Source organism: Homo sapiens, chromosome 7 (assembly GCF_000001405.40).
Source record: "Homo sapiens chromosome 7, GRCh38.p14 Primary Assembly".
Classification (NCBI taxonomy): domain Eukaryota; kingdom Metazoa; phylum Chordata; class Mammalia; order Primates; family Hominidae; genus Homo; species Homo sapiens.
Window position 1 is genome coordinate 5365378 of NC_000007.14, and position 25837 is coordinate 5391214.

Below are 25837 nucleotides of genomic sequence, written 5' to 3' on the forward strand. Positions count from 1 at the left end.
GCTGAGATTACAGGCGTGAGCCACCGTGTCCGGCCTCCTATCTTTTTGTAATAGGAGCACATGGGCACATAGCTGGGACACGTGTGACAGGAAGAGCCTCACCAGTGTGATGAATATGACCAGGTGTGTGCAGTTCTCTGATAAATACTCCCCCTACCCTCCAGGAAGGGTGCTCCAACCACAGAGATCTTGCTTTAGTCTCTACCAAATTTAAATGAGTTCTATTATAATTTTTCAATTGACATTTCATTTTTTTAATGCACATGGGGTCTCGCCATGTTGCCCGGGCGGGTCTTAAACTCCTGGGCACAAGCAGTCCTTCTGCCGCAGCCTCCCAAAGTACTGGGATTGCAGACGTGAGCCACCATGCCCGGCTGACATTTTCTTTGTGATCTAAAATACCAATTTTTGGCTGGGTGTGGTGGCTCACGTCTGTAATCCCAGCATTTTGGGAGGCCGAGGCGGGCGGATCACCTGAGGTCAGGAGTTCGAGACCAGCCTGACCAACATGGAGAAACCCTATCTCTACTAAAAATACAAAAAACTAGCCGGGCCTGGTGGCGCATGCCTATAATGCCAGCTACTCAGGAGGCTGAGGCAGGAGAGTCGCTTGAACCTGGGAGGCGGAGACTGCGGTGAGCCGAAAACCATATTCTCTATTGGCAGTGTGCAAAGTTCCAGAGACAGACATGACTAATGATGCTGCTGAGGGGGAGCTTCTCTTCCTTGGCACTATTCACATTTCACTATTCATTCGCATCTCTGCTGGGGGCTTGTCCTCTGCCTTCACTGTAGGGTGTCTTGCTGAGTCCCTGCCTTTACCCACTAGATGGCAGTAGTGCTCCCCCCAAGCTGTGACAACCAAAAATGTGGTTGCCAATGTCCCCTGGGGGGACAAAATCATCCCTAGTTGAGAATGCTTGTTTTGCTCTTCTTATATCTTTTTTTTTTTTTTTTTTTTTTTTTTGTGAGACAGAATCTCACTCTGTCGCCCAGGCTGGAGTGCAGTGACCAATCTTGGCTCATGCAACCTTCGCCTCCTGGATTCAAGCAATTCTGCCTCAGTCCCCTGAGTAGCTGGGACTACAGGTATGTGTCACCACACCCAGCTAATTTTTTTATTTTTAGTAGAGATGGGGTTTCCCCATGTTGGCCAGGCTGGTCTCAAATTCCTGACCTCAAGTGATCCGCCTGCCTTGGCCTCCCAAAGTGCTGGGATTCCAGGCGTGAGCCACCGCGGCTGGCCGCTCTTCTTATATCTTTAGGGAAACTGAGGCCACAAAGCCGCAAACCTGATCAGCTCCCAAAGGTTGATGTTAGATTGAAACCATCTCACCCACCCCATACCCCCGCCTCGAGGTCCTGCGAGACTTAAGAGTCTACAATGTCAGGTAAGGATGGAGGGCTGTTCTGTTCTCCAAGAGGGGACCAAGGTACAACTCTGTCACCTCCTTCACCCTCCCACAAACCTATTATCCCTAAGCTCTTAACTGATCAGGCAAGGGACGCCCAAGTGACCTCTAGGCCAGTGGTGATGGGTTCAGTCGTGTCCCCACTAATTTAATATGCGAGAATCCTAACCCCTAGTAACCTCATTAGGTGACCTCTGTGGGAGACAGGGCGTTTGCAGAGGTGGTCAAGTTCAAGTCATGACAGTGGGCCTTCATTCCGTAAGGCTGGTGTCCTAATAGGGTGGAGAATTCTGGGCTGGGTGCAGTGACTTACACTTGTAATCCCAGCACTTTGGGAGGCTGAGGCGGGCGGATCACTTGAGGCCAGGAGTTCAAGACCAGCATGGCCAACATGGGGAAACCCCGTCTCTACTAAAAATACAAAAATTAGCTGGATGTGGTAGCATGTGCCTGTAATCCCAGCTACTTGGGAAGCTGAGGCAGGAGAATCACCTGAACCCAGGAGGCAGAGCTTGCAGTGAGCGGAGATCACACCACTGCACTCCAGCCTGGGCAACAGAGGGAGATTCTGTCCCAGAAATAATTAAAAACAAAAACAAAACCAGTACCAGGTGGGAAGACCAAGGGAATGTTTTTTGTTTTTTGTTTTTTTTTTGAGATGGAGTTCCACTCTTGTTGCCCAGGCTGGAGGGCAGTGGTACCATCTCGGCTCACTGCAACCTCCGCCTCCCAGGTTCAAGTGATTTTCCTGCCTCAGCCTCCCGAGTAGCTGGGATTACAGGTGCCCGCCACCACGCCCAGCTAATTTTTGTATTTTTAGTAGAGATGGGGTTTCACCATGTTGGCCAGGCTGGTCTCGAACTCCTGACCTCAGATGATCTGCCCGCCTCGGCCTCCCAAAATGCTGGGATTACAGGCGTGTGCCACCGTGCCTGGCCAACCAAGGGAATTTTGATTTTCTTCTACCCAAAAAAAAAAAAAAGTTTCTATTGAACTATTTTCGTGAGAGAAAAGCAGCAATGAACTTTAGGACAAGTGCCTCCCAGTGGGGAGGGGGGCGTTGCTCACACAGGCCAATGGCAGCGTGGCTTCTCCAGGCTTCCTTGAGGGCCATCTGACCATGACAGTCACAAAGCCTTGAAAAATGTGGCCTTGTTTGGACCCAACAGTTCTACCTCTGGGCATACAATCCCAGGCAAATCAGAGATACGGACAAAGTTTTTTTTTCTTCAAGGATAACCATCATGTTATTTGCAACGGAGAAAAAAAAAAAACAACTTTGTTTTAAAGCAGACGAAAATGCCTGACCATCTAAGACTGGGTCATCAAGGGCCAGGGCCACCACCAGGCAGAAAGTTGGGCAGTCCCTAAAACAATGATTTTTTAAAAACCACAGCTTTAAGCCGGGTGCTCACGCTTGTAATCCCAGCAATTTGGGAGTCCAAGGTGGGAAAATCACTTGAGTTCAAGAGTTCGCGACCAGCCTGGCCAACATGGCGAAACCCCATCTCTACTTTTTGTAAAAAAAAAAAAAAAATTAAAAAACCCACAGCTTTGAAAAATGTTTAATAAAGAACATTTTAAGTAAAGTGTCCGGGCGCGGTGGCTCACGCCTGTAATCCCAGCACTTTGGGTGGCCAAGGCGGGTGGATCACTTGAGGTCAGGAGTACGAGACCAGCCTGGCCAACATGGTGAAACCCCATCTCCACTAAAAATACAAAAAGATAGCCAGGCATGGTGGTGCGTGCCTGTAATCCCAGGTACTCAGGAGGCTGAGGCAGGAAAAATCGCTTGAACCTGGGAGGCGGAAGTTGCAGTGAGCCGAGATGGCACCACTGCACTCCAGCCTGGGTGACAGAGTGAGACTCTGTCTCAAAAAAAAAAAAAAAAAAAAAAAATTTAAGTGAAAAGGGCAGGGCAGGTTACAGAACACTATTTACAAAAAGATCTTAATTTGAGAAGTAAATATGTGTATGTGTGTTCTAGAGGAAATATACTAAAACACTGGCAGGGATATCATCTCTTCAACGGGTGTTGCCCCGGCCCTTCCTCCAAACCAGTTCTAGGCCCAGTTTTCCATGCTGAACATCAGTCATTCTGTGTCTGGCCCAGCATTCAGTGCCCTTTCTGCTGAAGGCATCCCATTCTCTTTGAGAACTACCCTCCCCCTTCCCTACACCCCAGAGGCAACACATCCCAGATCAAAGGACAGGTAATGATCAGCGCAGCCCATGTCCCAGAACTCAGTTTGATGCCCGCAAAAAGCATGAACCGAGGCTGGGAGCGGTGGCTCACACCTGTAATCCCAGCACTTTGGGAGGCCAAGGCAGGCGGGTCACTTGAGGTCGGGAGTTCGAGACCAGCCTGGCCAACATGGCAAAACCCCATCTCTACTAAAAATACAACAATTAGCCAGGCATGGTGGCACATGCCTGTAATCCCAGCTACCTGGGAGGCTGAAGTAGGAGAATCACTTGAACCCGGGAGGGCGGAGGCTGCAGTGAGCCGAGATGACACCACTGCACACCAGCCTGGGTGATAGAGGGAGACTATGGCTCAAAAAAAGAAAAACAACAACAACAAAGCATGAACCGCAGTCAGCCCTTGAGAATGAATCTCAGTGTTTTTGCCAAAGCTAGCAAGAAAGAGGTGGCCTCTTTCGGAAGGCTGCTGAGCAGGCCCAGGGACCTGGGAGGAACTGACAGACCACCCCCCACCCCAGTGAGGACAGTAAGTCGGCCTTGAATGAGGCCAACAGAGAGAAAAGTCGAACAGCAAGAGGGAAGGAGGGAAGGAGGGAAGGAGACGGGGACACAGAGAGAGAGAGACTAGGGAAGGGCCTGTGTAGGAAAAGAAAGACTTGGTTTCTTGGCTTGAACACCTAGATCCAGCCATACCTGAAATTACCTAATTACTGCCGGACTTCAGTTCCAAGAGCCAATTAATTCTCTCCTGCCTAAACCAATTTAAATGAGAGTTTCTGTTCCTTGCAACCCAAGAAATCCTGCTAAAACACACCATCAATAGAATGAGAAATTTCACCACCAGGAAACCTACAGACTGGCTGCACAGTGCAAACACACTTAACATGCCACTCACTCAACAGGACGCTTAAAAATGCTCGAGATGGAACATTTTGTTATGTGTATCTTAACCACAATTTTTTAAAAAATTAATATGAATAAACCATATTCCGGGTTTTTCATAATTTAAAAATCTTATAAAAAAATGTTTAAGAGGCCGGGCACAGCGAGCGACTCACACCTATAATCCCAGCACTTTGGGAGGTCAAGGTGGGCAAAATCACTTGAGTCCAGGAGTTTGAGACCAGACTGGGCAACAGAGCAAGACCCCATCTCTAAAAAAAAGAACTTTTTAAAAAGTTAGCTGGGCATGGTGGTGGACGCCTGTAGCCCAAGCTACTGGGGAGGCTGGGGAGGGAAGATCACTTGAGCCCAGGAGTTTGAGGCTGCAGTGAGCTAAGATTGTGCCACTGCACTCCAGCCTGGGCAACACAGCAAGACCCCATCACCACAAAACTAAAACTCACGAATCTGCAGAACTCAGAGGTCGCGCACTCTCACCTCCCATCTCTTGGCTCCTCCTCTCCAGCTCCAGCTCTGCGATCTCACTTAGCAGGGTGATGCCATGCAGGAAGCTCTGCTCCAAGACAAGGCTCTCGGCTGCTTCCAGCTTCTCCAAGGCCTGGGCTCCAGCAGCACCCGGGGAGGGCAGAGGCCTGGCCTGGGGCAGCTCCGCAGCTGCCGCCAGGGCGTTCATGCCAGCCAGTGGGTCCTCCAGACTGGGCAGGAACTGGTCAGAGCTTGCCTCTTCCAGGAAGCAGGTGCTGCCGAGTACAGGCACGGCCTCTTGGGGCTCCAGGCTCGGGCACTGTCCCTCCCCGGCGGGCACGTCACAGTCTGACATTTCTAGGGTGGGCTGGGACTCGCTCGGTGCCACCTGCGCCAGGCCTTCCTCGGGCACTGCCTCCACCACGGGCACCGCCACAGGCACCTCCACCGGCTCCTCCTTGGCCTCCACCAGTGTCTCGGGTGTCAGCTGCACCCCCAGGTCCAGGGCGGCGGTGCAGGGTTCTGTCCGGCCCGGGGAATCCACCCGTGGTTCAGGCCCCTCCACAAAGTCTGGACACTCAGAGGGCTCTGCGCAGCTCTGCCCGGTGGCACTCAGCGCCTGGGCCTCCAACAGGCCACCTCCACAACCCCCTGCAGGGCTGGGGGTAGCCATGGCTTCCGCGGCGGGCAGTGGCAGCGGCGACTCCAGAGGCGGCAGCTCTGTGGGGCCCTCGTCCATGTCCTCCACCTCTGCCTTCACCTCCCGCTCAGCCAGCGGTTCTTCCTCCGGGCCCTCCCGCAGCGGCTCTGTGATCTTGGAGGGGGACAAGCGGATGGGCTTGTCTTCGGGTGAGAGTGCCAGGCGCTCGGGCCCATCAGCCGGGAGCGGCACATCAGGGGCCAAGCCGTCCGCGTCGGCGGCGGCCGTGGGCTGCAGCAGGAAAGGGTAGGGCCTCCCGTAGTGCGGTGGCAGGGCTTGGAACGGGTACCTGGGCGGGATATCTGCCAAGGACACAGGGGTCAGCATGGGAGCCCTAGGATCTGATATCCCATGTCCCCACTGACACCCGCCCACCACCCCAGACAGAGACCCAGGACGCAGCCGCCCCCTGCTCACCCAGCTACAGGGTGGGAGCTGTTCTAGGTGGGATCTCAGAAACCCCAGGGCCATGCAGTGGCCCCAAAGTGAAAAACCAGCCACCTTCTTGTCCCCAAGGTCTTGTGGTCTTGAAGGCAAAGAACCACAGTGGTCTCTCTTGTTCCTTTCCCACTCAGCACCCAGCACAAGGCTAGACCAGAAGCCAACACTTCATGAGGTCTGCAAAGGCCTACAGCTGCCTTTACCCACCTTGTGTGGTCTGGTCTCCACTCCCCAGGAACCTACTGCTCCACCCCATTAAAGCAGTTGTTCAAAATCTAACAGCAGAGCCAGGCGTGGTGGGCCACGCCTGTAATCCCAGCACTTTAGGAGGCCAAAGGGGGATGATCGCTTAAATTCAGAAGTTCAAGACCAGCCTGAGCAACAGAGTGAGACCCCATTTCCTTTTTTTTTGAGACAGAACTTCACTCTTGTTGCCCAGGCTGGAACGCAACGGCGCCATCTCAGCTCACTGCAACCTGCACCTCTTGGATTCCAACGAATCTCCTGCCTCAGCCTCGCGAGCAGCTGGGACAAGAAGCATAAGCATGACCCACCGCGCCTGGCTAATTTTTTTTTTTTTTTGAGACGCAGTCTCGCTCTGTCACCCAGACTGGAGTGCAGTGGCGCGATCGCGGCTCACTACAAGCTCCACCTCCTGGGTTCACGCCCTTCTCCTACCTCACCCTCCCAAGTAGCTGGGACGACAGGCGCCCGCCACCATGCCTGGCTAATTTTTTTTTTTTTTTTGTATTTTTAGTAGAGATGGGGTTTCACCATGTTAGCCAGGATGGTCTCGATCTCCTGACCTCGTGATCCGCCCGCCTCAGCCTCCCAAAGTGCTGGGACTATAGGCGTGAGCCACTGTGCCCGGCCGTGCCCGGCTAATTTTTTATATTTTTAGTAGAGACGGGGATTCACCATGTTGGTCAGGCCAGTCTCAAACTCCTAACCTCAGGTGATCCACCCGCCTCAGCCTCCCAAAGTGCTGGGATTACAGGCGTGAGCCACTGTGCCTGACCTGGAAGACTCCATCTCTACTAAAAAAAAAAAAAGAAAAAAAAATTAGCTGGTCATGGTGGCGCACCCCTGTAATCCGAGCTACTTCACAGGCAAAGGTGGAAAGATCACTTGAACCTGGGAGATCAAGGCTGCAGTGAGCTATGATGGCACCACTGCACGGCAGCCTGGGTGACAGAGTGAGACTCTATCTCAAAGCAAAACAAAATGTAACAGCAGGGCTAGCTGCAGTGGTCTCAAGCCTACAATCCCAGCAGTTCGGGAGGCCAGGGTGGGAGGACTGCTTGAGCCCAGGAGATCAAGACCAGCCTTGGCAACAAAGCAAGACACATCTGTACAAATATAAAAAATAAATTGGCCAGACATGGTGGCTCACGCCTGTAATCCCAGCACTCTGGGAGGCTGAGGTGGGCAGATCACCTGAGGTTGGGCGTTCGAGACCAGCCTGACCAACATGGAGAAACCCCGTCTCTACTAAAAATTCAAAATTAGCCGGGCATGGTGGCACATGCCTGTAATCCCAGCTACTAGGGAGACTGAGGCAGGAGAATCGTTTGAACCTGGGAAGCGGAGGTTGCAGTGAGCCAAGATTGCCCGACTGCACTCCAGCCTGGGCAACAAGAGCAAAACTCCGTCTCAAAAATAAATAAATAAATAGCCAAGTCCAGTGATGCGTGCCTATGGTCCCAGCTGCTTGAGAGGCTGAAACAGGAGGATCGCTCGAGTCCAGGTGTTCAAGGCTGCAGTGAGCTGTGATTGTACCACTGCAGTACAAGCTGGGGCAACAGAGTGAGGATCCCATCTCAAAAAAAAGAAAAGGAATAGCAACCCAGTTCTGTCCCCCAAGTGTAATCTCCCTGAGAGCAGGGCTGTGTGCCCCTGATTCTCTGCACCACTCCCAGCCCAGCAGCTGGAGGCACACAAAAGGAAACTGACAAAGGAGAGACAGGCGCCGGGCCAAGCTCAGTGATTGCCACCACTGGCCCAAGCTCACCCAGCCTTGGTGCCAGAATCTGAAGTTGAACCAAAGTCCTCCCAAGCACACGCTCACACACCTGATACCCCCCAGGGAGGAAGAACACAGTCCCAGCCCCCAAAGCCACCTGCTGCAGGTCCCCTCTGATGCAGAAGACGGCAAGAGCGGGTGTGTGCATGGGACCCACAGAACGGGGGGAAAGCTGCCCAGAATGGGTGTCCCTGGACCATCATCAGCAAGGCAGAACTTAGCGCCGACTGCATGCTGAGCGTGTGACAGGTCTGGCTCGGTGGAAAACTCAGAACAACTCATCCTGAAGCAGTTTCTAATATTACACCCATTTCCCTGACACTGCCGCTGAGGAGGGGCCGGGGAGAGGCTGGATTTGACTGTGAGCTCCTGTGTTTGTCTCAGTGTCTGGCGGCAGGCCTGGGACGCAGGAGGTGCTCCGTGGAGGTGGAATGAACGAACGATCGAACGGGTCAATGAAAAGATGGATGAGCAGTTTTACCGCTCCAGGGGCAGAGTGAGACCCTGAGGGTCTCAGCTGCATCCTACCTGAGAACAGGGCCTGGAAGGGGCTGGGGGCTTCCTTCTCCAACTCCAAGTCTTTCTTCTCGACCACATTCTCGGGAGCCTCCTCCTTGCGGGTGATACCCGGGGTGGGCGGTGGGGAGGCGGGCGGCGGGCTGGTGGGGTGGGAGCTGGGGGTGGCGGGGTAGGCGTAGGCGGGTGGCTTGGACACGTCCTCCAGCTTCTGGATGACCTTGGCCTTCAGGGCAGCCACAGGGGATGCGCGGGGTGATGGTGGCGGGCTCACGGCCTTGCCGTAGGTGCCCGCGGGGCCGGCGGCCAGGCCAGGGGGCTTCCGCGGCAGCAGCCCGGGGCCGGCGGTGGCCAGGCCAGCCTTGCCCGCAGCCTCCAGGCCCCGCTTGCTCCCCTTCTCTTCCATCTCCGCCCGGTGCTCCTGCGCCTTCAACCGCTCCTGCTGGGAAGGGGCCGGCAGGCAGGGTCAGCACGGCACGAGTTTCCCCCTCCCCGACGCCCGCACCTGCCCTGTCCCCCCAAGGGTCCCCGAGTCCGAGGAGAACCTCATGCAGGGCCTGGGGTCCAGGCTGCCCACCCCGTCCCAGGCCAGAGACAGACATTCCATCCCAGCCCATGTGTCATAAGCACAGCGTTCCACGCAGAACCCCAAAAGGCAGCGCTGGGGGTGAGGAGCTCTGGTGAGCCCCTTCGAACCAGGGCTGATGGGGGACCTCCACCAGGACCCCGGCCCTGCACGGACCCTCACAGTCAGGACAAGGGGGGCCAGATGGGGGGCACAAGGCCCCACACCTCGATGGCATTGGGCGCACTCACTACCTGCTAAACCTTCCTGCTTCACTGCGTCATCATTTTAGGGTCTCAAAAGGCCCCAAAGAGGGCAGGAGGAAGCCAGGCATGTCTTTTATGAGGAAATGGGAGGGAGTCAGCTCGGCGACCACCAATGCCTACCTGGGCCGGTCAGTCAATACACAAAACACACTAGGGGCCGGGCACAGTGCTCCCGCCTGGAATCCCAGCACTTTGGGAGGCCAAGGCGGGTGGATCACCTGAGGCCAGGAAGACCAGCCTGGCCAACATGGCGAAACCCCATCTCTACTAAAAATAGAGAAAAAAATTAGCCGTGCATGACAGCATGTGCCTGTAATTCCAGCTACTCGGGAGGCTGAGGCAGGAGAATCGTTTGAACCCAGGAGGCGGAGGTTGCAGTGACCCGAGATAGTACCACTGCACTCCAGCCTGGGCGACAGAGCAAGACTCCACCTCAAAAAAACAACAAAAACAAACAAACAAACAAACACCAGAACAAAGCGCTCCAAGGACAGGCCGCTCTCCCGATTACTAAACAGTCACATTTAGCAACCCAAGGACTAGGCAACGCTAGCATCTGTTTCTGGGAGAGGAAACCTGAAGCCCAGAGAAGTAAAGGCACTTGCCCACGAGCACACAGCCAGGCCTGGCAGAGCTAAGATTCAGACCCAGGGCTCAGGCTCTGAGAGCTTCTTGCTGTATGCACTACCTGGGCCGACTCCTCCAGAGCAGACCCTTTGTGTCCCCTATCTTATGGGACCATGCCGTCAGGAGGCAGCTGGCCAGGCCTCCTTGTGCCTCTCCGAGAGGCCACCTGGAGAGAAGAGGCCAGGCTGGGCTCAGGCAACAGCGGGAGCCCACTGGACTCCTTCAGTGTCCAATCACCCTTCCCCAGTCCCCAAGGCCACCTCTCTGCCTTGGTTTCCTCCTCGCTCCTGCACCCTGCCCTGCCAATCTCCATCTGCCTCTGCTCACAGCTCCCTCCGCCTGGAGAACTCTTCTACAGATGGCTCCAGGTCTCGGTTCCACTGCTGCCTCCTCCAGAAGCCCTCCCTGACCACCTGCCCCTCTGCTGTTTTCTCCCTCCCTGTAACTGTCTGGAGATTCTGCTGGCTGACTCGTCTGCCTCGTCACCCATGGGGGCCCCCAGAGGGAGCTGCGCCTCATCCTCCCCGACTTACCACGAGCTGGGCGCTCCTCTGCAGTTCCAAGGCCTGGGCCGCCTGCTGCTGCAGGTACAGGAACTCCTGCTGCCGCAGGAAGTGCTGCTGTGAGAAGAGCTGCAGCTGCTGGGCGTGGTGCAGGGGGCTGCGGCCCGGCGGGTACAGGGCGGGCCAGAGGGGCGGTACGGTGGCCCGCTCCATCAGCTCCGCTGCAGGGACAGAGACAGTGCGCTGCACCTGCGGCCTGATGCTCCACCACCATGCCCATTACGAGGGGAAGCTGAAGCCAGAGAGGGGCCACACCCACACAGTGGGGAGCTGGGCTCTCTGCGGGCCCCCGGCTGCTCCCCAGGGGCCAGGAAGTTTGTCCTGTCCTCCATGGGCCACGTGTGCACCCCAGGCCCGGGGAACACAGCCCTGTCCACACCCGGGGTGGGATGTTCCCACAGCCTCGCAACCAGAGCAGGTCAGCACGCAGACACGTACGAGGACCACTGTGAGGACCTAGGGAACGCCTTCTCCCACCCCTCCCAGTGGTCTACAAGGTGGATTCCTGGGGAGGCGGTGGCGCCAGGTAAGGGGAATCCCAGCCCCCACCCAGGGCTGCCTGTCTCGCTTCTCTTTATGGAGTTTTTGGGCAGGAGCTCATTGCAACAAGGACCCCAAGGCTTTACAACACTGGCAACAGATGTTCTCTCTGAACCCCGGTCCGCCTCCCCAGCCCCAGATCTGCCGGCCGCCACCCCTCAGCAGGAAGCCCTTGGCATCAGAGACCATCTCGCTGGGCATGGCCAGTCTGGCCCATGGTGGCCACATAGAAGGTCCACTTACCAAAGTGAGGAAGGTGATCACTGGGAATGACCACCAGCTGGCCCGATTGGGGGTCCCTGACAAACTGGTAGGCTGACGGGAGGGAGCCCCCCAGGCCAGGTGGGAACGCAGGGGCCATGCCCTGGTGCAGAGATGGGGGACCCAAGCCTAGGAGGAGAAGCCCAGGCCTGAGTCAGTGCTGGGAGCCCCCAAGCGGTTTGTCCTCGGGCAGCCCCAGCCCAGCACCACCTCCCAAGTCCTGAACCTCCTGGGGCCTCCAGTGGGGAAGCCAAGGGACAGGGGTGCTGGCTGGCTGCAAAGAGCACCCCAGAGCCACCCGCATTGGGCATCTGCCCCAAACAGGCATGGCAGAGGGGCCCCACGAGGCAGAGGCCATTATCATTCCTTCTTCCGACGAATGCGGGAGGCAGGCCCAGGCCCCCCAGGAAACGGCAGGCAGGAGCCAGCCCTGAGCTCTTGTCCTGCACCCGCCCCCTCCCACCCCTCCCTCAGAGAAGGGGAGAGACCCTGTGCCCCACACTCACCGTAGGGGTGTCCAGCGAGCCACATGGATGCGTTGCCCGAGCGGGGCAACCAGGGGTGCGTGGCCAGATGGGCTGCGGGGTCGGCAGACCAGCGACCTGAGCCCGCCAGCGCCGGGCCCCCCGTCACCATGAGGTTGGGGTTCAGGCCGTTAGGAGCACAGCTGGTAGGGTGCAGGCGGGCCAGGTCAGCCAGCTCCTTACTCTCTCTGGAAGGAGGATCATAGGTGTCAGCGACAGCTCGGACAGCCCAGGGGACGAGAGGGAGAAGCGGGGTTGCCCCAAGGAACTGTTTGCCACCAGGCCATGAGTCAGGACAACCACTGCTCGGAACTGAAGGGCCTCCCGGGGCCTTCCACACTCACTGTAGGGGCAGTGGGGCCACCTGGCCTGGGCAGGGCTGGCCCGATGCTGAGGACCAGAGTGACTCCCGCTCTCAGTACCATAGCATCCATGGTCGAGGGGCCAAGCCCACCTGGGGTCATCCAGCTGCCCCTCACCCCCAGGGGCTCCTAGATACCCCCTAGACCCTCAGGATCCCCCGACACCCTCACCTGAGCAGCTTCTCCTGATCCCGGTCCAGCCGTGCCCCGAGCAGCCGTTCCTCCCGGTGTCTGGCCCGGTCGTCCACACAGTCCTCATCTGCTCGGCCGTGCCCTGCAGGGGGCCAGGTGGAAGTGAGCCCCCAGCCAGCACCGAGCCCATCCCAGACCCATTGGCCCCACTGCCCTCACCCCTCCCTGGGCCCCCCAGAGCCCCGACGGTCCTGCACAGCCATCCGTGTAGTGCCTTCACCCCAACATCTTTCCTTATGACGCATCAAGCTCCCCCAAACCCCAACTGGGGTTCCTCAGGGCCAGAAATCATCCATCCGCTCTGTCATCCCCCATCCAAAAGGCCTGTCTATGTCCCCTAGACAGACAACCGTGGCGATAATTAGGCCAACAGCCAGGGATATTGTAAGAAAATGTCATAAAACTTGTCACATAACAATGAAACGTGAGGCCGGGTGCACTTACTAATGCTATTTTTATTTTATTTTATTTTTATTTATTTATTTTTTTTTTTTGAGATGGAGTCTCGCTCTGTCGCCCAGGCTGGAGTGCAGTGGCACGATCTCGGCTCACTGCAAGCTCCACCTCCCAGGTTCCCGCCATTCTCCTGCCTCAGCCTCCCAAGTAGCTGGGACTACAGGTGCCCACCACCACGCCCCGCTAGTTTTTTGTATTTTTAGTAGAGACGGGGCTTCACCGTGTTAGCCAGGATGGTCTCGATCTCCTGACCTCGTGATCCACCCACCTCAGCCTCCCAGAGTGCTGGGATTACAGGCGTGAGTCACCGAGCCCCGCCACTAATGCTATTTTAATGACGGGAAGGCAGATTCTGAGCTGGGGATTTGGTGAGGACAGGGCAGAGTCCAAATGGAGAAAAAAAACACAACCCAAAAACTAGCCGGACCTGGGCCACATGAAGCCAGACTGTGGTCCCAACCACGCAGGCCTGTGTGTCCCAAGACAGTTTAAATACACATGGCTAGCCAGGCGAGGTGGCTCACACCTGTAATCCCAGCACTTTGGGAGGCCGGGTGGGGGGGGCGGGGCGGATCACCTGAGGTCAGGAGTTCGAGACCAGCCTGGCCAACATGGCAAAACACCGTCTCTACTAAAAAAAATACAAAAATCAGCCAGGCGTGGTGGTGCGCACCTGTGATCCCAGCTACTCAGGAGGCTGAGGCAGGAGAATCATTTGAACTCAGGAGGCAGAGGTTGCAGTGAGCCGAGATTGCACCACTGCACTCCAGCCTGGACAACAGACAGAATAAGACTCCGTCAAAAAAAAAAACAAAAAAACAAAAAACACACACACACAAAAATTAGGCGGGCATGGTGGCATGCACCGGTAGTCCCAGGTACTCGTGAGGCTGAGGTGGGAGGATCTCTTGCGCCGGGGAGGTCGAGGCTGCAGTGACTCCCTATTATGATTGCACTATTGCACTCCAGCCTGGGTGACAGAGCGAGACCCAGACTCTAAAGAAAAAAAAAAAAAATCAAGATAGAAAAGTAAACCCAAAGAACATTATCCACTTGGGTGGAGGGGGTGGCCTTGGCCCCCTGAGTGGGAGATGCTACCGGGCTCACCCATCCCTGTCCCTCCCTATAGCCAGCCCCTGAGTCCCAGGCCTGGCACATGGATGGTCACCAGAGGAGAGGGGACAGGGAGCGGCGGAGTGGCAGGAGCCCCGTCTGGCCCTCCTGGTACCTCCTTGTCCCTGCCACCCTGCCCTGGCCCCTCTTTGAGTGTTCAACACCATGAGCCAGAGATGGGACACACCGGACAGGTGAAGGCCCGGGAATGGGAGGAAGCTGAGCCCCACGGCAGAGGCTACCAGGTGTGCAGCTCGAAAACCTGCCCGTCGGCTCCCAGGTGCCATTCGCACAGGCGGAGGCACGGCTGATACTCCCCTTGGGGCCGGCCTTCCCAGGGCTTCCGGGAAGAGGGGTGGGCTGGGAGCTAGGTCCTCCTACGCAGCGCTACTGTGGGCAGACCCCGGCCATCAGCCACCCCCAAGGGCCCAGTCCAGCACCGCCAGCTGCAATGTCAGGGGATCAGCCGCCAGCACAGAGAAACTATCCTTCTGCTGGAGACAAGGTCCCCACCCAGCTGTCCTAACTGGGGTCTACAGCGGCCCCACAGCCATGACCCTAATGGGTGAGGAAACTTGGAATCAAGCTTCTCCTCTCATCTCTCCCTTCCCACACCCCCAAATACCAGGAGCTCCTAATAAGCAGCACCCCAGGCCCGACAGAATGGCTCACGCCTGTAATCCCAGCACTCTGGGAGGCCGAGGTGGGAGGATCACTGGAGCCCAGGAGTTTGAGACCAATCTGGGCAACACAGTGAGTCCCCATCTCTACAAAAACATAAAAAATTAGCCAGGCATGGTGTCATGCCCCTGTGGTCCCAGCTACTTAGGAGGCTGAGGCAGGAGGATGGCTTGAGCCCAGGAGGTGGAGACTGCAGTGAGCTGTGATTACACCACCATACTCCAGCCTAGGCCACAGAGCATCTCCCTTTCCCTGCAGGAAGGTGGGAACCCACCAGTCCCAGAAGCAGAAGAGAGGAACCCAGAGAGGGGCACAGCCATGCCGGCCCAGACGCCTGCAGGACCGAGTGTACGGAGGGACAGCCGGGCAGCCCGGCACGGGGAGAAGCGTGTTGACGAGGGCGCCTGGACACGGGCCTCCAGGGCTACCTGGACCTCCAACATCAACGTAGCTCCTGTATCAAAGCAGAAGCTGAGCCCACCATGCACCCCTCAGTCAGGACTGCAAGGGGCCCTGCCTGTGGACCTCACGGGGAAACTGAGGCCCAGAAGGGCAGTGACAGGTCTCAGGCAGGACTGGGGCAACGGAGGGCCACTCCAGAGTCCCACAGCTGTGCTGAGAAATCGAGTCATGAGATCAAGCTTCCTTCTCCCAGGGGAGACAGCCGTCCCAGCTTACAGAATCCCAGAGGCTCAGCCACCTGAGGGGGCCACCCTCACGCCCCCTGGGTCCTCCTGGAGTCTGGGACAAGCTTTGAGCACAGGGCTCTCCCCGTGCCCCCAGAAGAGGCAGGCACTTAGAGTGCAGCCTGGGCTGCCCCAAGCCCTCTGTCCCCCCGACTGTCCCGGCTGTCACTGTGAATGGTCTCAGGGGCTTCCCATCCCAAGCGCCACCTGCCACAGAAGCCAGTCTGCTGGCCAGCCCCATATCAGAGCACCTGCCACCCTCAGGGCCTCAAGGGCCACAGCCCCAGGTTGCTCCCTGCAAATGTGGTTGGCCTCTGAAGAGAGATAGTGAGCCCTCTGTCCCCCACCCCTGCGCTTGGCCGGGCCCCTCCTCTACCCTCCTCACTCTGTGGCCCTCCATCCGCTCTAATCCTGGTCCTATCTGTCACCCCACAGGCCCAAGTGGGGACCTGGCCGGCCTCTCGAGGATGCCCCACCCTCTCTGCACATGTCACACTTGTCCCCTTCCCCACCTCTGGGCCACACACACACCATTCCCACCACCTGGACCTCCACCATCAGAGCTCAGCTTCAAGTGCCACTTCCTCCAGGAAGCCCTCCCTGACCACCTCTGCTCCATCACGTTCTCTTGACTATACACAGCTATTCTGCTTATTGATCATTCACTGTCTGTGTCCTCGAGGCTGCAGTGAGCCATGACTGCACCACTGAACTCCAACCTGGGCAACGGAGTGAGACCCTGTTTCCAAAAAAAAAGAAAAAGAAAGGAAAGAAGGAAAGACTGAAAGAAAGAAAAGTAAACTCAGGTCGGGTGCAGTGACTCACGCCTGTAATCCCAGCACTTTGGGAGGCCAAGGTGGGCAGACCACCCAAGGTCAGGAGTTCAAGACCAGCCTGGCTAACATGGTGAAACCTCGGCTCTACTAAAAATACAAAAATTAGCTGGGCACGGTGGCAGGTGCCTGTAATCCCAGCAACTCAGGAAGCTGAGGCAGGAGAATCACTTGAACCCGGGAGGCGGAGGTTGCAGTGAGCCAAGATCACAGCACTGCACTCCAGCCTGGGCGACAGAGTGAGACTCCATCTCATAAATAAATTAATTAATTAAATAATAAAAATAAAAAATAAAATAAAGTGGATAAATAAACAAAGGCTGTCCCTGTGCCCAGCAGGGCCCCAGGCCACTTTGCAAACATGAACTCATTCAATCACCATCAACCCAGGAGGCAGATCCCAGCCCTCATCCCTATCTTCCAGATGAGGAAACTGAGGCACAGGGAGATAAAGAAACATGCCCAAGTCACAAGACTAACATGGAGGCGTCATGGCTGTGATCAGCGTCCAAGTCGGCCCTGCTGACCACCAACATACACGGCCCCACACAGGGAGTGCCACAGGGCCCTCTCCAGCCACGTCACTGCCGCCCCCTCTCTGCAGGCCGCCCAGAGGCCCAGCCCCAGCCCAGGGCCCATGGTGGGGTGAGGGTGTCCTGCAGCAAAAGCCCCCGAGTCTGCAGCGCTAACGACTCCACTCACAGGTCACACGCCCCACATCGCAGCCATTAGGAACCCAAGGCTCACGCAGAGGCCCCGTTCCCATGGCAACCCCTTCCTGGCCTCTCTCTGAGCAGTTCCAGATAGGGTTGCTCTCCAGGGGTCCGGGGAAGCGGATCGGGGGGGAGTGACTGGATAGAGGCCCCAGCAGGCTTGTCACCAACACCATGGCGTACACCCGGCTCTGCACCCCCAGCCGCCCCCTGTGAAGCTGGAGGTGGGGACATCCCCACAGCCCCTCCCTCCCAGACCTGGCCCCACCCTAGAGGTGATGGGCCAGTGAAGAGGTAGGAAAGACAAAACTCAGCTCAGGGCTCCCCGCTCAGCCTTGCCTCATCCCTGCAGGCCTGTCTCCCCATCTGAATGGGGAGAGTAACAGCCCCTCCTCTGCACAGGTCCACGCCCTCACAGGAGACCTCATGGAGCTGTCTGTTCATACGGGCTGCTGGCTCAACGGCAACGATTGCTTTCTATTTTTGGGGTGGGGGCAGGATCTTACTCTGCCACCCAGGTTGGGGCTCAGTGGTGCGATCTCACTGCAGCCTCGACCTGCTGGGGTCAGGTGATCCTTCCCTGCTTCAGCCTCCCAGTAGCTGGGACTATAGATGCCACACCACTATGCTCGGATGATTTATTTTTATTTTTATTTTTGTAGAGTCGGGGTTTCACTATGTTGCCTAGGCTAGTCTCCCAACTCCTGAGCTCAAGCGATCTGCCCACCTTGGCCTCCCAAAGAGCTGGGATTACAGGCATGAGCCGCCGCATCTGGCAAGGATGCCCCTTATCGTTCTTAGCTTCTTGGGCATGGGGGCTCTGACTGCGTGGGGCTCACAAATGTAGGTAATGCCTGTCCTTCATCCATCTCAAGGTCCAAGGCCCCCTGAGGCCAGACCTAGATCCTATGTGAGAACAGGAAGACCCAGGGCTCCCCTGCACAGGCAGGTGCATTCTAAGACCCTAATGCCTGAATATGAGCAGATGAGAGAGAGGCGTTTATAACGCACCCACTATGTGCCCGTCAGCCCACCCAGCATCAAGCAGATGAGCCGCCCCCAGAGGCCAGAGGGCTCGAGGCTCTTGTTCAAGGTTACGTAGCTACAAAGGGCAGAGCTTGGACTTAAACCCATTGACAAAGGCAGAGGGCTCGCTCCAAAAAGCAAGAGACTGGGGCGAGAACCCAGGAGACCAGTGTGACAACCCGACTGTCCTCAGCTGGGGGAACTGCCCAGACACAGGCGTCCCAGGGCGTCTCTCTCCTCCCTCCTTTCAAAGTGGCTCAGCACTCAGGCTGGACTGCCCAGAGAGAAATGACCACTTCTTATGGGATTTTTTTTTTTAAGGAGAGAAAGAATCCAGCCCCCTACTTTTTTGTTCTTTTAGAGACCGGGTCTCACTCTGTTGCCCAGACTGGAGCGCAGTGGTGCAATCATAGTTCAATGCAGCCTTGACCTCCTGGGCTCAAACTATCCTCCCACTTTAGCCTCCTAAGTAGCTGGGACTACAGGCACACCAGCATACCCGGGTGATTTTTTTTTTTTTTTTTTTTTTTTTGAGATAGAGTTTCGCTCTGTTGCCCAGGCTGGAGTGCAATGGCACGATCTCAGCTCACTGCAACCTCCTCCTCCTAGGTTCAAGCCATTCTCCTGCCTCAGCCTCTCAAGTAGCTGGGATTACAGGTATGTGCCACCACACTTGGCTAATATTGTATTTTTAGTTAGTAGAGACGGGGTTTTACCACATTAACCAGTCTGATCTCAAACTCCTGACCTCGGGTGATCCACCCGCCTCGGTCTCCCAAAGTGCTGGGATTACAGGCGTGAGCCACCACGCCCAACCTATTTTTATTTTTTGTAGAGACAAGGTCTTGCTAGGTCGCCCAGGCTGGCCTCAACCTCCTAAGCTCAAGTGATCCTCCTACGTTGGCCTTCCGAAGTGCTGGGATTACAGGCCTGAGCCACCATACCCAGCCCCCAACCAGTCACCTACTTTTCAAACATCAGCACCAACAGAGAAGAGCAGCTTCAGATAAATCCCCAAACATCTCATCCCAAACCTCTGGCACACCCTCCCTCCCTCCCTCACATTCGCATGTCCCCCTCCCCCACACAAACACACGCACAGCCTCTTGGGCACAGACAGGTACTCTGGGATCTCAGATGGACTCCAGTGACCGTGAGCCCCCAACAAAGGTGCCACCCCATGTGACGGGAGGATCCTTCCAGAGAAAGGCTCAAAGAGATCTCCTGCCTCCCAGGGGGGCCCACAGCCCCAAACCTCTGAGCAGGAGACCTTTTTCCATCACCAAGCTGGCCACCTCCAATCCAAGCGCTGTTGGCCCCTCCCTCCTTCTGTCCCAGAATAAGGCAGGTTCTCATGCAAAGCCCCAGGGTCAGAGTGTAGCGGGGCTTCCCTGGCTCCAGGAGCTCCACACAGAGCAGTGTGTTCATTCAGTCAGTCAACAAACACTCACTGAGCATCGCTCACCATGAGCCAGCCCTGCTGGATGAAGAGAATTCCAAGACAAGCCTGACAGAGCCCCACCTCCCAACTCAAAATCCAAAGACTTCAGGGCCGTCCCCGGAAGGCAGGAGCATCTGGAGCTCGGCCAGAGACAGGCCCGGTCCAAGGTGGCTCCACCGGGAGGTGAAGGCACAGAGGATGGGGAGACATGGCTGTGCAGGAAGTGGGAAGGGCACTGCAGGCGGGAGGTCCAGCACCAGATACCCAGGACCGGCTGGGGCAGGCATCAGGGTGGTGGGAAAGTGACACAGCTGGCTGGGCGCGGTGGCTCACGCCTGTAATCCCAGGACTTCAGGAGGCCAAGGTGGGCAGATCACTTGAGGTCAGGAGATCGAGACCATCCTGGCTAACAAGGTGAAACCCCGTCTCTACTAAAAATACAAAAAATTAGCCGGGCGCGGTGGCGGGCGCCTGTAGTCCCAGCTACTGGGGAGGCTGAGGCAGGAGAATGGCGTGAACCCGGGAAGCGGAGCTTGCAGTGAGCCGAGATTGCGCCACTGCAGTCCGCAGTCCGGCCTGGGCGACAGAGCGAGACTCCGTCTCAAAAAAAAAAAAAAAAAAAAAAAGAAAAAAAAATACAAAATTAGCCGGGCATGGTGGCGGGTGCCTGTGACCCCAGCTCCTCAGGAGGCTGAGGCCGGAGAATCACTTGAACCCAGGAGGCGGAGGTTGCAGTGAGCCAAGATCATACCACTGCACTCCAGCGTGGTGACAGAGCGAGACTCCATCCAAAAAAAAAAAGCCAAGCATGGTGGCTCACACCTATAATCCCAGAGCTTTGGGAGGCTGAGGCAGGTGGATCAACTGCGGCCAGGAGTTTGAGACCAGCCTGGCCAACACAGTGAAACCTTGTCTCTACTAAAGAAAAACAAATACAAAAAAATAGCTGGGCATGGTGGCGTGCACCTATAATCCCAGCTACTCAGAAGACTGAGGCATGAGAATCACTTGAACCCAGGAGGCGGAGGTTGCAGTGAGCCAAGATCATGCCATTGCACTCCAGCCTGGGCAACAGAGCAAAAGTCTGTCTCAAAAAAAAAAAAAAAAAAAAAAAAACAGATGCGGTGGCTCATGCCTGTAATCCCAGCACTTTGGGAGGCCGAGGCGGGTGGATCACTTGAGGTCAGGAGTTTGAGACGAGCCTGGCCAATATGGTGAAACCCTGTCTCTACTAAAAGATACAAAAGTTAGCCAGGCGTGATGGCACGCACCTGTAGTCCCAGCTACTCGGGAGGCTGAGGCAGGAGAATCGCTTGAACCCAGGAGGCAGAGGTTGCAGTGAGCAGAGACTGTGCCACTGCACTCCAGCCTGGGTGACAGAGCGAGACTCCATCTCAAAAAACAACAAAAAAAAAGTGACACAGGTAGGAGATTCAGTACTTTCGGAGGCCAAGGCAGGCGGATCATCTGAGGTCAGAAGTTTGAGACCAGCCTGGCCAACATGGCAAAACCCCATCTCTACTAAAAATACAAAAATTAGCCAGGCATGGTGATGCATACCTGTAATGCCAGCTACTGGGGAGACTGAGGCACAATCGCTTGAACCCAGGAGGCAGAGGTCGCAGTGAGCCAAGATGGCACCACTGTACTCCAGTCTGGGCAACAATGCAAGACTCTGTCTCCAAAAAAAAAAAAAGAAAAAGAAAAAATTAGTCGGGCGTGGTGGCGCATACCTGCGGTCCCAGCTACTTGGGAGGCTAAGGTTGGAGGATCGCTTGAGCCCAGGAGGTCAAGGCTACGGTAAGCTATGATCACACCACTGCACTCCACCCTGGGTAACAGAGCAAGACTCTATCTCTAAAACAAAATAATAATTTATAAACTAAAAATAAATAAAACAGGCTGGGGGCAGTGACTCACGCCTGTAATGCCCAGCACTTTGGAAGGCTGAGATGGGCGGATCACCTGAGGTCAGGAGTTCGAGACCAGCCTGACCAACTTGGAGAAACCCTGTCTCTACTAAAAACACAAAATTAGCCAAGCATGGTGGCACATGTCTGTAATCCCAGCTACTCTGGAGGCTGAGCCAGGAGAATCACTTGAACTTGGGAGGCGGAGGTTGCGGTGAGCTGAGATCGTGCCATTGGACTCCAGCCTGGGCAACAAGAGTGAAACTCCGTTTCAAAAATAAATAAATAAATAAAACAATTCTAAAGAATCCAAAATATAACAGATACTCATAAACCACTTACAGGCACGTAAACTCTCTACCTACCTAAAAAGTCACTCAAGTACTGAGTATCAAGACCGTGAGGATGTTGGAACCCCAGTTTCTGTCTGTTCCTCACTCATTCACTCATCCATCAAACACCTACTACGTGCCAGAGCCCAGGCTGGCTAGGTACCGGGGACACTGGAATCGGTAAGGCACAGTTAGGTCCCTCGATGACTTCAAATTGAAGGTTTGATATTTGTCTATTCCCAAGACCATCTGTTCTCAGGAAATGACTGAAAGTATCACGAAGGTGCGATGCACACAAAGACTGAAAGCAACGTTCCGAACACAAAACATCGGAGAAGGAACAAACGAAAATGCCCATCAAGGGAGTGGAAAACTGAACCATGGTACATGCTCGCAACAGAACATTCAAGACCATTTTAAAAAATGATACTTATAAAGACTTAGCAATAGCAAAGGGAAAGGGCCCACACTGTAATGTACGGGAAACGGCAGAGAGACCCAAGATCCTACCCGCACCTGGGCTCTGCCCAGGACCTACCTTTGACGTTACTCAGCGACAGAGAGCGCTCCTGGTCTACCAGCCCAGGCCCCAGCCGGCCACTGCCGCCACTGTCCTTCTGCCGGGCCACAGCCACTGCAATGCCCACAGGCGGGTGTCGCACTTCTGCCTCACCCTGGGCACCAGAGCCCTCGCGCCCGAAAGCTTTGGCGCTCTCGGGCCTCTCGGGGTCCCGCTTCAGCTGCCGGCCGCCGCCCGCTGCAGGGCCTCCGGAGTGTGGGAGACGGGCCTGGGCTCGGGAGGCACCCGCAGAGGTGGGCGCAGGCTCGGGTTTCATGGTGCCCAAACCTCCAAAGGGGCTCTTCTTGCCACAGCCACCAGGGCGCACGGCCACGGCGTCCCGGGCAAAGCTGCCACTGTACTTTATAAGGCTCTGCATGGCCGAGGCCTCTCCAGACCCGTGGGCCGCAGAGTGCATGTCAGCGACCGGCCGGCCGCAGGTGGCCGCCGAGCGGGGCAGCACAGCCCCAGGGTCCAGGTAGGCCTTCTTGGAGGAGGAGGCAGCGACCACGGCGGCCTCCTCTTCGGCGCGGCTGTGGTGGTGCTGCGCGGCCAGCACGGCCATCTGCGTGGCGGCGAAGTTGCCCAGCTCGAAGGGTTTCCATTTATGCTCAGGGCCGGTGGGCGGGGGGCGCCCGGGCTCCAGGCCGAAGAGCTTGGCGGCCTGTTGGGCTGCAGGACCGGCTGGGCCGCGGGGCGCACGCTCGCAGGGCCTCGGGTCCGCCTCGGGCTTGAGCAGCTCCTTGGCAGGCACGTAGGCGCGGGGGTCCGGGGAGGCGCGTGTGGCCCGCACCGTGGGGGCATCCGCGGGGGGCGGCCGCTTGAGCGAGCGGATGACCGAGTTCTTCTCGCGCAGGCCCTCGGGCCGGTCCAGAGGCCGCGGGGAGCCGGGGGGCGCCTGCAGGACCCCTGGCCTGCCAGCCTCGCGCTCGCGGGCCCGGGCATCGCGCGCCTGGGATGCGATCTGGATGGGCCCCGGGCGCTCGTCGAAGGCCTCCACGGAAGGCACGAAGGTGGGCGCCACCACGCGGTGCTCACGGCCCTGCTCGCGGAAGACGGTGTAGACGCCGGCGGGGGTGGCCGCGGGGGGTGCAGGAGGCCCCTTGGGGGGCGCGGGCGGCGGGGGCAGCGGTGAGGGGCAGGGGCGCGGCCCAGGGAGCAGGGTCTCCGTGCGCCGCAGCAGCCGCGCGCCCTCGTCCTGCCGGGCAGCCTCCTTGGCACCCCCGCGCCCCGCTTCGGCCACCAGCGCGGGCAGCCCCACGTCCCCGGCGCCGCCGTTGCACATGGTCAGTACCGACGGCTGCAGCGCCGCATTCTTGGTCTTGGACTCAGCCAGGAAGGGCGACAGGCGCTCAGCCAGGCGCGGGGGCCCCCGGTCCTGGCGGCCCTCGGCGCGCGCCTCCTGGGTCAGGTCCACCACGCCCCGTGGCCCCGAGGCCTCCTCGCCCCGGGCGCGCGGGTCCTTCTTGCCGAAAAGCGGAGGCGGCTCCCCGCCGCGGCCCGCCCGCTCCTTGGCTGGACCGTCCCGCGACGACGAGCCTTTGGCCGGGGCGCCCGAGGAGTGGCCGCCGCCAGGGGTCCGGGCCGAGGGCGCGTGAGAGTGCAGGGAGCCCGGAGCCCCCGCGGTGGGCAGGTAGAAACCGTCTGCGGAGAAGGGAACAGCAGGCAGTGAGCGAGCGCCACCTCCCCTCCCACCCCTGCCTGGGCGGAGGCGGACCCCTGAGAGGGGGATGGACCAACCCATGCCTCCCCCAGTGTTTTGGTTTTGGTTTTTTTTTTCAGAAAGAGTCTCGCTCTCCTCACCCAGGCTGGAGTACAGTGGCGCAACCTTGGCTCACTGCAACCTCCACCTCCTGGGTTCAAGCGATTCTCCTGCCTCAGCCTCTCCGGTAGCTGGGATTACAGGCGCACCCCACCACGCACGGCTAATTATTGTATTTTTAATACAGGTGGGGTTTCACCATGTTCGTCAGGCTGGTCTTGAACTCTTGACCTCAGGTGATCCACCCGTCTCGGCCACCCAAAGTGCTGGGATTACAGGCTTGAGCCGCACTCGACCCAGTGTTTTTTCTTGGAAATTAAACGGTTTCGGTGCAGGGAGCCCCGAGGTTTCACACCAAGGCAAGGCACCCCCCAGGGCAAGAAGAAATGGGCGTCCCAGCCCTAGAGAGCGCAGGCTCTGGAAATACCTACAACCAAGTTTAAATCTACCCTTCCCAAGCCTCAGTTTCCTCATCTGTAAAAGGAGAGACCAGGGTTTGTTTTCAAAGTTGCCCGGAAGGCCTAGCAGGGCCCCTAAGAGGACAGTGTGACCAGAAGGCACCCAGGGCTGTGGGTGGGCCCAAGGAGCCTGTGGGGGGTCTTAGGGACTCAGGTCTCAAAAAAGCATCTTAGGCCACAATGGCTCACATCTGTAATCCCAGCACTTTGGAAAGCCGAGGTAGGAGGATTGCTTGAGGCCAGGAGTTTGAAACCATCCTGGGCAACACAGCAAGACTCCACCTCTACAGAAAAGTTAAAAAGTCAGCTGGCTGTGGTGGGGTGTGTCTGCAGTCCCAGCTACTTGGGGGGCTGAGTCAGGTGCATCATTTGGGAGTTTGAGGCTGCAGTGACCTATGATCGCACCACTGCACTCCAGCCTGGGCAACATAGTGAGACCCTGTCTCAAAAAAAAAAAAAAAAAAAAAGCCAGCATCCTGGACAGAGCTGGGGGCTACCTGGATGCTGCCAAAGGCCCCAGAAGCCTCTCAGAAGGCCCCTGTGCCACCCCCAACCCCGGACTCCAGTCTTACCTCCTCCTGGCCCCTGACCTTTCTGGGTATCGAAAATGCTGGGCTGACCCAGCTGGCTGAGGAGGGGGCTCCCACTGCTGGGGGGCTCCAGGTGGTTCAGGTGGAGGTAGGATGGGTACAGCCCACTGGGCAGGTGGGAGAAGCCTGTAACAGAAAAGAGAAAAGCTGGGCTGGGCCAATTCGTGCTGCTCACCAGGAGCTTCCTTCCAGCTCCTGGAAATAAACTATTTTGGCAGCCGACCGCTGGTACAGGGCGCCTTGAGGTTTAACAGCAGCTCCTCAGGGCAATGCATTCTCCTGCTCCCCAACCCTGGGTCTCTCTCCAGGCCCAGGCAGCCCTCACGGGGGACTGGGGTCTCCAGTCCCCCCCAGAAAGAGGATCAGAATGGATCCAACTAGCGGGGCCCGATAACAGCCTACCAAACATGACCAAGAGCTTTGCCACTGTCATCCTCATTTAAACCTCAAAAACAACCTATAAGGAAGAGACTTAATGTCCTCACTTTAAAGACGAGAAAACTCAGAGCAGGCCACTTGCCCAAGACGATACAGCAGAGCTGCCTGGCTTTGGATCGAGACCATCGAACCCTGCAGCCAGGACTCTTAACCTCAGCCTAACACAGGCCCTTTCTCTGCTGTGTGACCCCAAGCTGGTCACCTGCCTTCTCTGAACCTCAGCGGACCCAGCATCTTCAGCTGCTGGGTCTCCCAGGCAGGAGCTGCCAGGAAG

The 25837-nt window shown here is 57.0% G+C and overlaps 1 protein-coding gene across 16 annotated transcripts in view, besides 2 other annotated features; it reads right to left on the reverse strand.

The window, feature by feature from the left end:
• TNRC18 (trinucleotide repeat containing 18) overlaps positions 1–25837 on the reverse strand; it is a 117024-nt gene that overhangs the window by 58567 nt on the left and 32620 nt on the right. For 13 of the 16 annotated variants that reach the window (XM_017012737.3, XM_047420983.1, NM_001080495.3 and 10 more), the window contains 8 exons: positions 25108–25251; positions 22295–23959; positions 12545–12647; positions 11994–12199; positions 11470–11616; positions 10657–10847; positions 8678–9107; positions 4998–5987 (listed from right to left, as the gene is read on the reverse strand). In XM_017012737.3, the coding sequence (XP_016868226.1) occupies positions 4998–5987; positions 8678–9107; positions 10657–10847; positions 11470–11616; positions 11994–12199; positions 12545–12647; positions 22295–23959; positions 25108–25251 (3876 nt within the window). The remainder of the gene's footprint in view (positions 1–4997; positions 5988–8677; positions 9108–10656; positions 10848–11469; positions 11617–11993; positions 12200–12544; positions 12648–22294; positions 23960–25107; positions 25252–25837) is intronic. The other 3 variants (XM_017012732.2, XM_047420980.1, XM_017012730.2) reach the window with 1 other exon arrangement.
• Positions 16448–17012: an enhancer, noted in NCBI's record as "H3K27ac-H3K4me1 hESC enhancer chr7:5421456-5422020 (GRCh37/hg19 assembly coordinates)". NCBI's record gives its function as "activates a minimal SCP1, AML or CMV promoter by ChIP-STARR-seq in naive H9 embryonic stem cells {active_cell/tissue: H9 hESC(naive)}" and the evidence as "EXISTENCE:reporter gene assay evidence [ECO:0000049][PMID:30033119]".
• Positions 17013–17576: an enhancer, noted in NCBI's record as "H3K27ac-H3K4me1 hESC enhancer chr7:5422021-5422584 (GRCh37/hg19 assembly coordinates)". NCBI's record gives its function as "activates a minimal SCP1, AML or CMV promoter by ChIP-STARR-seq in naive H9 embryonic stem cells {active_cell/tissue: H9 hESC(naive)}" and the evidence as "EXISTENCE:reporter gene assay evidence [ECO:0000049][PMID:30033119]".